Source organism: Homo sapiens, chromosome 13 (assembly GCF_000001405.40).
Source record: "Homo sapiens chromosome 13, GRCh38.p14 Primary Assembly".
NCBI classification, from domain to species: domain Eukaryota; kingdom Metazoa; phylum Chordata; class Mammalia; order Primates; family Hominidae; genus Homo; species Homo sapiens.
In genome coordinates, this window is record NC_000013.11 from 109,168,137 (window position 1) to 109,180,780 (window position 12,644).

Consider the following 12,644-nt stretch of genomic DNA (forward strand, 5'->3'; position numbering starts at 1 on the left):
GCAAAAAGGGGATAAAATAGGAAAAATAGGGCAAGGAGAAAGTTCTGAGACAGTAGATATGAAAACACATGTGAAAATAAACTTTATTTAATTATAATAAACTTTAAAAGGCTTATTTAATGTAAACTTATATGAAAAATGATTAGCAGAATATTTTAAAAACTAAGTTTTCTGAAAACAGTAAAACATAAGGATTCTGAAAGAGTAAATGTAAAGGGATAGAAAAGAAAAAGATACAATGTGCAAATATTAAAAAGCAGCAAAAACAGTGCTCATATATTTGAACGTCAAAAATTACATCTCTAGGCCAGGCGCGGTGGCTCACGCCTGCAATCCCAGCACTTTGGGAGGCCGAGGCAGGCAGATCACCTGAGGTCAGGAGTTCGAGACCAGCCTGGCCAACATGGTGAAACCCCCATCTCTACTAAAAATACAAAAATCAGCTGGGCTTGGTGGTATATGCCTTTAATCCCGGCGACTCGGAAAGCTGAGGTAGGAGAATTGCTTGAACCCAGGAGGCGGAGTTTGCAGTGAGCCCTGATCGCGCCACTGCACTCCAGCCTGGGTGACAGAGCCAGACTTTGTCTAAAAAAATAAGATAAAATAAAATCTCTAAGTAATCAATGTATTCAAGAAGAAATCACAAAATAAATTAAAAAGCAAAATATTTTAACTAATGACAATGCAAATATGACAACAGAACTTTTAGGACATGTCTAATGTCTTTTGTGTATGAGTGGAAGGGGCTCGGGTACAGTGTCGGTATGGTCAATATGTGGCTGTATGGCATCGTGGCCATGGCTGGGCTTTTAGTGTCCACATCAACTGAATAGTATATATTGTCCTGATTAAGTCGTTTCATATGCTTCATTCCATCCCATCCTCCCACCTTGCCACCCTTCTGAGTCTCCAGTGTCTATTATTCCACACTCTGTGCCCAAGTGTACACGTTATTTAGCTCCCACTTATAAGTGAGAACATGTAGCATTTTTCTTTCTGTGTCTTAGTTATTTCACCTAAGATAATGGCCTCCAGTTCCATCCATGTTACTGCAAAAGATCTCTTAAGAAATGGAAATGTATGGCTTCAAACCTTTGCATCACAAGAGAACAAATACGATGAGTGTTAAAAGGGTCTAGAAATTAGAAACAGAACAAAAACTAAATACTATGAAAATGGAAGGAAAGATATGATAGTGATAATAAGAACATAAGTTATTGAAATATAAAACAAATAAAATAATGTGAAGGGATAGAAAGGAAGGAAAGAGAAAGTTGTTTATCTTTTAAAAAATTATCTTTGAAAACAATAAGATTGAAAATTTTCTTGCAAGGGGATAGAGAAATAGAGAAAATTGGCACAAATAACAGATTTTAGATTGAAAAGGGGACATCAATACAGATCTGGCTGAAATTAAAAATAGTAAGAGAATATTACAAACAGTTTTACACCAAGATAAATTTACAAATTTACATAAACAAATACATTCTTAAAAAAAAAAGAACTAACGAAAATGGACAAAAGAAGTAGGAAAGCTAAATAACACCGTAAATGTTAAATTAATGGAATTTGTAATTGAATGCCTTCCTACAAGGAAAATTCCAGAATCAGATGGTTTCTCCACTAAATGTTTCCAAAATTCTAAGGATTAAATAACTCCAATGTCACGTACACGCTTTCAGAGAATAGGAAGGAAGGAGAAAGAAAATAATATTACTCCAGCTTGCATAATTAGCCACTTAATTTATGACAAAATTGGCATGTGAGAGCACTGGGGAAGAATAATTGATTGCTATCCATGTGGAGCAAACAGTGAAACTCGACTCTGCCTAATGCTATACACACAACAATTCCTGATAGATTATAGATCTGTATGTCAAATGTCAAATCATAAAATGGATAGAAGAAACAATAGGAGAGTATCTTTCTTACTTCATAAAAGGAAAGAAGGGCTTGTTAAGCAAGACACAAAAGTTTTAACCATAAAGAAAAAAGAAAAAAAAAAACATAAATAGGGAGAAAATATTTTTAACACATTTACCCAACAAAGGCTAATATTCAACGTTTATTTAAATTAAAAACAAAAGACAGCTGAAAAGAAAATTGGACAGAATATGTGAATACCACTTAGAAAAACAATTTTAATGGAGTCCAACCTCATTAGTAACTAGAGAAATGTAACTGAAGACTCCAGGGCAATACTACTACACACACTCTAGAATTACAGACCCGCCTGAAAAGGAAGAGGTGCTCGGAGAACGGACTGCCACAAAGTGAGGATGGCAATTTCATTTGGAGGGGAAGGCCAGTAGCGATTTGGAGAGATGACTACAGGAGCTTCCGCAGAGCTGCCAGTGTTCTATTTCTTTATTTTATTTGTGTGGTTGTTACAATTCTGCAATTTAAAAAAAAAAGGAGGAAGAAAGAGATGGAGAAAGGGAACTTCTCTTCACCAAAATATTTAAGTTTTCTGTGTTTTGAGGCAAAAGGCAAAAACTACAGCTTCGGAAATGATCCTAAAAAACTTAATAATAATAATAATAAAAACGGCAAGTCATACTCTAAATATCAAAACATAACCAAAAACCAAGGAAACAAGCAGAAACCCTCTAGACCAAAATGGAGATGTTTGTGAAATAGGATCCATGAAATTAATAATATAAATTCTTTAGGAGTATCAGGGTTCTAAACTTCAGCATGTAACACATAGTGTGTACGGCCAAAGCCTGCAACACAGATTTCTGTGTTCTCCCTTAACACACTTACAATTTTTAAAATAAAGTTGGTTCTATGCTGTCATTAAGTAAAAACCACTTGAAAATCTCAAGAGTTATGCGTGCAAAAGGAAAATTATTTCAATTGGAAATTCAATCTTTCAAAGCAACTTGACACATTTATGCTGATCTACTCTTGTGAGCGCCATGAATTTCTGGGGGCCTGGAACTTTCCCCATGATTTTTAAAACATCCAGCACAATACCCTTTATACTTAGGCCCTGAGTAAGCATTTGCTGATTGAAACAATGTTGTTTGTTACGGAGGAACCAGTAAATCCCATACAGAGGGCAGAGTCAGAAAAACTGCCTCGTCAGTATTATAGAAATTGAACAAACATTACACATGTGCAGAATGTGATGTATACATGAGCATGATAACTCTTAAAGCAATTATTAGTACAGGTTCATAACTTACAAAGTGCAGCCAATGCACTTTCTAAATAAGGGCACAAGATGAAAATAAATGTTTAAAATAACTTAAAGTTCTAATTGAATCAGAAACAGTGTTATTTTCTAGGAAACATTTCTCTTTTGAATGCCAGTATCTGCATGCTACCTCTGCTTCCCAGAAATAATTATCTGTTTGTTCATTTGTTGAAATATAGTTATGTGTGCGTAATTATAGCTATCACTTACTTTAATTGCCATCCTTTTACTGATGCGAGCGCAGACTTGGATCTTTTTTTTGTATATTTAATTATTCCCTGGACTTGTGGTTATTTATCATTAGATTAGAGAGCAGTTTTTAGTGTTAGAACATTTTAGCTTTATCAAACAAAATATTGTGAACATAAAGATGTTTATTTTGTGGGGACACACAGATATAAAAAATTCCAACTAGGGCATTTTATGTTCAGTATTATTTTCTTTCTTGCTATTCAGTGAATACACATAATATGGCTGGGTATCAGGAAAAATTGCAATTAAAGAATACAGACATTGCGTTTGCATTTACATTTATCATTCTGTATACGTTGTCTATTTTTAATTTGCATTATGTTCATCCTCAATGCACAATAAGGGTTATTTGTGTTGAATAAAGGCTTCCTAAGGCAAAAGGTTGGGGGCCATCATTTGCAGGACCAGGAAATCTGCATTCTGTGCTCTGACTCCGGTGCCTTGTTGAACTTAGGCCATTAGGGCGCCAAACCACACCAGTTCTGGGAACATCTAAGAAGGGCTTCCATCAGCCGCACCTCGAAATCAATCCAAACCACCAGCCAAGGAGCCTTTGGTTGGAACCCATAAATATCTTTAATATGTATTTTACAACATCACTTTCTTTATGGAGATTGTACACCTTCTTTGGAACGCATACCCTTGTCTGACTGAAAGCCTAACAGCCAGAGAAAAGGAAGCAAGCCTCACTTGACAATCTGGAATATGTTGCAATCATCTATTTTAAGCAACAGAAGTTACCTTTGCAAAGAAAGAAAACTCCTGGGGCATCGAGTAAGCCCTGCCCCACTCATCCTTCTAGTTAAAAGCATTTTAAAGTCACATTAAATAATTTCTAATTTGGATATTATTTAATTACATTTTCTCCACTGCAGTTGAGAAGTCAGTATTGAAAAGGAATAGATTGAAATGCTCAGTCTGGTATTTCCTTGCAGTGGAATAGTGTTCCCAGTGCTTAAGGCATCATTCTGCCTGGGTTTGAAGCTCACCTCTGATGCTTATTAACTCCCCGACCATGGGCAAGTTACTTAACCTCTCTTTTTCAATTTTCTAATCTTAAAAATGGGAATAATAAGAGCACCTACTTCATGGACTGCTGTATTTTATATGATGAAATTTAGCAGAAAGTTAATACTCAAGAAATATTACCTATACACAGTTATTCATAAAATATTATGTGTTTTAGAGCTAGAAGAGTCATGAGGGTTTATCCAACAGAAACAACAATTACATGAATGAGGTAGATGGAGGTGCAAGGCAGTGAATTCGTTTCTCTGAAACCATGGAGGCTGTAATAGTAGATCAGTGCTTTATGATATTTTCTTAGACACAAATGCCCACGTGTACAGCCAAATACACAATATTACTTTGATGGCTTGTGCTGGTATTCAGGGCAAAGACAGACATTACAATTTGGAATCTCTGGGATGAATAGAAGCAGGAATATCTGGGTGGAGTTCAGGGGAAGGGTCTATTTAATATCTAGGTTGGAGGATTCAAAATAATATGAAGGGCAGGATGGCAAGAGGAAACCCAGTGAAGAGAGAGGTGCACATTAGTCAATCAAAACACTTACCAAGTGCACCTGTCACATGTAGGCATTGTGTTATGCATGGGAGCCCTATGCTACTACCTAAGCAACACAAGATGACCTCTGTGTGTGAACAGTGAAAATACGGAGCACATTGAAAATACATACCAAGGAGACTGCAAAATAAGGCAGTCAGCAATAATGTCAAATGAATCCCATAAATAATGATTACTCTGTTACTTTCCACATAGATAAAAGAGATGAGTCTGGTGGGCTGGGATTGCTAAGGATGCTTCATAGAGAAGGTTGGGATTTTCAAATTGAGTTTAATTCAGAAAAGAAAGGAGCACATTTCCATGAATTTGCTGCACAATGTATTGTGGCAGAAATGTGAATCAGCTTCTCTGATAGAATAGGTGAGTAAATAACAGAGGAAAGAAACAATTATGTAGGAGTCTACAGAGCCATGAATGCCAATTTAAAGAGTGTCTCGGCCGGGCGCGGTGGCTCACGCCTGTAACCCCAGCACTTTGGGAGGCTGAGGCAGGCGGATTACAAGGTCAGGCGATCGAGACCATCCTGGCTAACACGGTGAAACCCCGTCTCTACTAAAAATGCAAAAAATTAGCCGGGCGTGGTGGTGGGCGCCTGTAGTCCCAGCTACTTGGGAGGCTGAGGCAGGAGTGAACCTGGGAGGCAGAGCTTGCAGTGAGCCGAGATCGCGCCACTGCGCTCCAGCCTGGGTGACAGAGCGAGACTCCATCTCAAAAAAAAAAAAAAAAAAAAAAAAAAAGAGTATCTCTGAAAGGGTTGTCCTTGTTTTGATGGGGGGGGGTACTCTCTGCTGTTTTGGAAAAGTGTACCTGATTGTACTATCCAGGGTGAACAATAGAATTGGAAACTGAGTTTGGGGGTGCCAGTTTTGAATTCATTCACTACTTAAGCCTTGGCAGGTTTTGTACATGAAGCAAGAGTATTAAAGACTGTATTGGTGTAGGAGTCAAGAAGAGGAAGGTGTCAAGAACGACTCCAAGAATTTGAGGCAAATGATGGGAGAATACAGCACTCTTAAGAAGGGAAGGGCAATTCCCAAAGGAGGTTAATTCTATAAGCGGATTTGGAGCTCAAGAGAAAAGGACTTCTGATTATGGATGATTTTTCCATAAATGATGATGACAGGTTTGGAGTTTAGGCCAGGGTTCCAGGATAGAAAGAGAAAAGCCAGAATTTTTAAAGAAGCTGGAGACATGGTGGTTATTTATAGCATCAGAGGAACAATCATAAAGAGAAATAAGAAAAGAAATATGACCACTAAACCACTCAGAATGCCAAAGTTTGAGAAATTTACATTGAGAAGGGGGGAAATGGAGACATACAATAGGTGCTCAAGAGATAGAAGACAGATGTCCAATTTCATGGAAATCAAGAGGGTAGTGGATTTAAAGGTGATGGAATACTTGGAAAGCTGGACAGATGTAAAAAGAGAATTCAAACCCTCTTGCCATTGACTAAACAAGTTTGGGTCCCTACAAAATGACAGATTTGACTAATAGATTCTAACCGGTCAGCCATGTAAAATTCAGTGCCATACCCCCCTTGAAAGTCTCTTTCTCATTCTTGTCTTGTCTTTTTTTTTTTTTTTTTTTTTGAGATGGAGTCTTGCTCTGTCGCCCAGGCTGGAGTGCAGTGGCACAATCTCAACTCACTGCAAACTCCGCCTCCCAGGTTCAAGTGATTCTTCAGCCTCAGCCTCCCGAGTAGCTGGGACTACAGGCGCATGCCACCACATTTTTTTTTTTGTATTTTTTTTAGTAGAGGCAGGGTTTCACCGTGTTAGCCAGAATGGTCTTGATCTGCTGACCTCGTGATCTGCCCGCCTCAGCCTCTCAAAGTGCTGGTATTACAGGCGTGAGCCACTGCACCCAGCCCTCATTCTTTTCTTTTTATAAGAATTTACATGAACCCACTACGCTCTGCATGTAGACCTCATGGCCCCAGAGTCTGCCACTTTTCAAAATTACTTCTTTAAAAATCACACAGAACTCCAGGGACCAGGTCTACACCACAGTGATGAGGAGGATGTCCTAAAAGCCATTCCTCTTTGTGTCCTGCAGGAAGGTTTAACTTTCAGTGCTCTGAGCAGCCTCCAATTCAGGAGGAGAGGGAGAACAGAGGCTGCTTCTTCCTGCTAAACCTTCAATCAAGGCCAAAGCCTTTTCGACTTTTGCCCACCCAAGTTTGAAGGAGCAGCAGCAGGTTCTATGGAGTGTCCACAGCATATCCATTATGCCATGGAGATCAGCTTTGGGGAATTCCTTCCCCTGAACATCTGCATGTTTTCTTTGAGCAGAAGAGCTGGCTATCTGGAGGGTAGAGTAGGGTGGACGCAGTTTCAGAAGACCTTGATTTGCTGTCATTTGGGCAAGAATGGCTTTTTGAAATAGTTTGGTATCATAATGGACCAAAAGCTCAACTTTTTGAAGCACACTATTGCCCTGGAAAGAATGTGTTCAGCAAGGGACACATGAATCTCTAAGCTGGGAATTGTTAACTCCAAGCCTGGTCTGGGGAGAAGGCTGCTACAGTAAGAGGAGCAGTGGGGGCTTCTCAGAATGTGCAGAAGCTCCTTCTCAGACAGAATTCCACCTTTTAATGAAGGCACAGATAAAGAGCTCCATCTTCACTTTAAATGTTCCTCCAACACGATTGGAGTCTTCACCCTGGTTAAAATGCGCCGTGGGATTCTCTACCCACGCAGGACTGTGGGACTTTTCTGGAGGCCTTTGCTTAGCAATGTTCCCTTTAGCTGCGTGAGAAAATCCTTGCTATGTTAAAAAAAAAAAAGTTCTTGTCAGTTAAGGACACATGTACAAACATTTACAGCTGAAATGACATGATTTCTGGGATTTAAGTGAAAAATGAATAAAAAATGGATAAAAATGGATAAAATTGACAGCCCCAAGGCTTGGAATGGGTGCATGGAGTTTCACTGCATATTCTCTTTATGTCTGAAATGTTTGTAATAAAAAGTTTTAAAACTGTGTTATTTTGATAGATAGAATGAATGTTACGTAGTCTCATATCCATTACTTGGAATTCTTAATGAAATTGAATATGTGTATTACTTATTAGCCATTCATATTTTCATATTTTTTCTCCTTTATTTTCTAAACTTTTATTCTTTGTCCATTTTTTAATATCTGGGATCTGTAGGATGTTTGAAGAATTAAAAAAGCCTCTTATTTAATATATTTCAATGTTCTACATTGTTCTTTTAAAATACACATTTTATTTTTAGGGCATTGTCAATATGTTTATTTTTAATGTTTATAGAGAGACATGAATCCGTTTTCTTTTTTTTTATTCATGGTTTGTGCGTTTGGTGTCATTTTAAAATAATTTGCCTTAAAAAGGTACTGCTTCTAATACGGCAGCTAAATAAAATATTGTGCTGGTAAAAAAAAAAAAAAAAAAAAAAAAGACCTCCTTTGCACCTTTGGCGCTTCCTGGCCGTCACTTTGTCCCTTCCAGTTCTCAAAATGTTACTGCGTTGGCCGTGATGAGGACCCTTGGCCTGTTTGCTACAACCTTCAAAAAATCCCCTTCCCTCTGACTTCTCGGGCCCAGTCGCTTGTCCCACCCCCTCCTCCACATGCCCGTCTCCCCCAGCACCCACTCACCTGCCTCCCTCCCCGCTGTCCTCACCTGGCCCTCCACCTGCATGCGACCACCTGCCCAAGCTGCCATATGTCCCTGTCTGTGGAGCCCTGACACAGGTTCTGGGACCCATTCTTTCTTTAGTCAACAGTTATGAATGAAATACCTTTGAACTCATTACTTAGATAAAATGGTGTCACTTCTCTTCTGGGAAGTCTGCAGTGCTACCTATCGTCTCCAAAGTGTGGTCACATTTCCGCGAAGCGTCCTTGTGTTTTGTTGCCTTATCACATTTGTGCTCTCAGCCAGGCATGTCCTTCTCGACTTTGTTCGCCCTCCACAATTCTCCTCCTCCTCGAAGGCCCAGGTCCTTTAGCAACACCACCATGAAGTTTACTCTAGTCCGTTCCATCAGAATGCATCCTTACCTTCTCCAAGACCCTGTTCAACGTGACCTGTACTCCTCTTAATCCTGAAATCATGCTGCTGTGTGTTTGGCCTCAGTGCCATTCTCACTGAATTGACTTTCTCAAGGGTGGGGACTTTTCTTCGTTCTTCCTTGTATTTCTCAGCGCCTTATGCAGCGGTTGCTCATAAATGTTTTTAACCTTAATTTAATTGACTCTATGCAGTGCTCAGCAGGCTATCGATTCCGCTCTGAGCTTATACCCTTTCAACTGAGTTTCTGTTTTGATTCTGAGATCCAACTTCTAATTTTATGTATTTATTTATTTATTTATTATTTATTTATTTATGTTGAGATGGAGTCTCACTCTGTCACCCAGGCTGGGGTGCAATGGAGCAACCTTGGCTCACTGCAACTCTCCCTCCCAGGTTCAAGCGATTCTCCTGCCTCAGCCTCCTGAGTAGCTGAGACTACAGGTGTGCACCACCGTGCCCGGGTAATTTTGTATTTTTAGTAGAGATGGGATTTCACCGTGTTGGCTGGGCTGGTCTCGATCTCCTGACCTCAGGTGATCCGCCACCTTAGCCTCCCAAAGTACTGGGATTACAGGCGTGAGCCAGTGCACCCAGCCCCGACTTCTAATTTATAATTTAGGTTTGAAAAATGGATCACATTTGTCTTCTCCTGCCACAGATCCCCTGTCTTAGTAAGACATCTGGTGAACTGGTTTCTTTATGGTTCCTATAGAAGTGAAGGTTTATCTTGCTTATCAATCAGCCCCTTCCTCCCAGCACCCCATCCTTTATTCCCCTCTAAGAGGTGGTCCTTCACATGAATCCCAAGCCCTTTGTTGTGCCCTACTACCCGGAAACACATTTTTTTTCCAACTATCTGCTTTATCTAGTTTCCTGAAATTTCATATTGTGCCTGATCTTGGATTGACACACTCCCTTCCGCCTGTGTGAATTTCAGGCTGCTCTGACACTCACTGTGATTGGAGCCTTTCCTGTGTCCTGCCACCACAGTGTCTAAGGACACTATTGCCACGTAGCACCTGAGGCTACTGCTGCTGCCTGTGGCCGAGATCTGTTCTCCAGCAAGAGACCCCCCCCACCCACTAGCCATTGTCCGCCCAGTCTTCATGAAGTTAGCTTTTCCATACCAAGGTATCTGGACATGTAACAAGATCACCTGGAAGGCCTTGTTGTGTGTTGACAGGATTGTGTCGACTTCCCTGAGGAACTCTCTCCTATAATTGGAAAAGCGTGCACTGATTGTCTAATGATTTTTAATTTAGGAATTATGTATATGTTTAATCAATTACCTGTGCTAGTTAATTATGCTTTCAGAGGAGAGTAGTAATCACTTCAGTATTTAAAGTTCTCTGAGTTGAATTCATTTTGTTGGGTTCTTATTTCTCTTTTTGTCTATTCATGTTTATTAATCGAAGTCACTTGCGGTGATGCATTGCGCCTGTATCACAGTGATTCTCAGCCCGTGTAGGAGGGGATGACTTTGCCCTCCAAGGAACTTTTGGCAATGTCTGGGAACATTTCTGGGTGCCACAAATGGGGGTGCTGCTGGCATCTAGTGGGTGGAGGTCAGGGATGCATGGGGCAGACCCCACTGCAAAGAATTATACAGGCCAAAATTCCAATAGTGCAGAGGCTGGGAAACTGCTTTGATCATAAAGGATAATTAATCAAATCATTTGGTGCCTCATAGTAACTTCGCGTTGTTGAGGGACATGTAAAGTTTCATAAACCTACAAGTTACTCTGCATGGTTGCTCATGAATTGGTGTGTTGTGAATCGGCAGCTCTCCCCACCTTTTCCTCATGGAAATTCAGCCAATCTCTTTGCTTCCTTGTGCACAAAATGAACTACAGCCAGTGGAATTCATCAGACACACAGGCTTAGTTATGCTCTGATTTTCAATCCCTTCCTCGTCTCCCTGCAATCCTATGAATGGCAGCCACATTCTGCTGTCTGCAGTCACCCTAGTGACTCAGTGGGCCCGTCACTGACCCCGTATGCTTCTTCAAACCTTTTCAGTCTCTAGAAGTTTCCCTTCTCCCCTCCAATACTTATCTGCTCACTTTTGTGCTATTATCACATATCTCCTTATTATCATTGTATCTCCTTTGGCAGGATATGCCCTCTTTTCCTAAATGAAGCTGCCACAATACTGTGCATGCCCATGTTTCATTGCAAAATTTAGTATTTAGTTTGTGTTTAAGGATCATCATTTCAATTCATAAAAGATAACAATTCTAGTTTATTGTAATGAGTGCATGACTTACTTTATTTGGAACAAGGAGACACTGCTTAACTCCCGATTTGTGTTGACCTCAATAGGTTTACCTGAAGAAGATGGATACTCACGGTTGTCTATAAGTGGCACAGGGACTTCGACATTTCAAAGACACAGGGACAGTCACACCACTCAGGTAATGATGTCTGTCTGTTCACATGTGCAGTGACAAATGGAATTAAGTTATGACAAGGCATTCATTAACTTGTTACCAATAGATGCTCTGTGTGGACTGGAGGGCTCAGCTGTTCTCACCTCTGCCCTGCACTCCTTCAGCTGAATGGTCTTCTCTCTCCACCTCAGCTGACTGCAATTTTCTGCTTGTTTCCAAAATAAGGAATAATGTCCAAAACAACTAAAACATAATAGTTTTAAATGAAATATTGTAGATTTAATTTATATTGTGGTACTTTAAAATTATTCTCGGGTGAAGATGATATTAAATCTGCTGAATGAAGTTGCTATGCATTTGACCTTGGCTAAAATAGGATGACTCTTAGTGACCACACCTGGGAATAAAATGCTTGAACCACCTGTGGTTTCATGGCATGCATCTTATCTCAGTTATGACATTCATTTCCATGTAATTCACATTCATTTAAAATATGACATATGATGAGAACATGGTAAAATCAAAATGAGATTGCAGTCCACAAAACTGTTTGGAGGTGCATTACTGATTGCATGTAAATGTTTTATGTGTCTCTTCCTAACAATTTCACCAAAATAAACAAGATTATCACTTCAAGAAGAAGAAAAAAAGAACCCATTTGTGCTTCTAGAAAGTGAAAGAATTTATATTATAGAATGTACTGTTTTATTTTCCTTTTATGTTGAATTTTAAAATATACTTTAAATAATTGTCTTTAAAATATATAATGTTGCATTCAAGGTGATGCACAAACCACCCATTAGAGAGACTTTGTTATCAATATATTAACAGACTATTGCTTTAGCAACAGGATTCTCATTTTATCTAAAGTTACAGCACAATTTTTATGTCAAACATCTACATAAAAGTCTAAAATAACCTCAGCCAAGTATCCAGATGTTTCCACGAAATCAACTATACAGCTAATGATCAGCTTTCCTTGGAATATTTAGCATTATAGAGGCATGGCCATATTATCAGCTGAGATTTTTCTAAATAACACTGATGAGGTAGTGAGAAAAATCAATAGTTTGAATCTTAAGAATAAATCTTACAGTAGGCAATCTTCTGAAATCACTTGCACTGATATCCAGGCACTGAAATAGAAAGAAAATGCTGATTGGTTGCAATA

At 39.3% G+C, this 12,644-nt stretch overlaps 1 protein-coding gene across 7 annotated transcripts in view; it reads left to right on the forward strand.

Moving 5' to 3' along the window:
- MYO16 (myosin XVI) overlaps positions 1–12,644 on the forward strand; it is a 712,290-nt gene that overhangs the window by 672,421 nt on the left and 27,225 nt on the right. For all 7 annotated transcript variants that reach the window (XM_011521062.2, XM_047430183.1, NM_015011.3 and 4 more), the window contains one exon: positions 11,406–11,497. In XM_011521062.2, the coding sequence (XP_011519364.1) occupies positions 11,406–11,497 (92 nt within the window). The remainder of the gene's footprint in view (positions 1–11,405; positions 11,498–12,644) is intronic.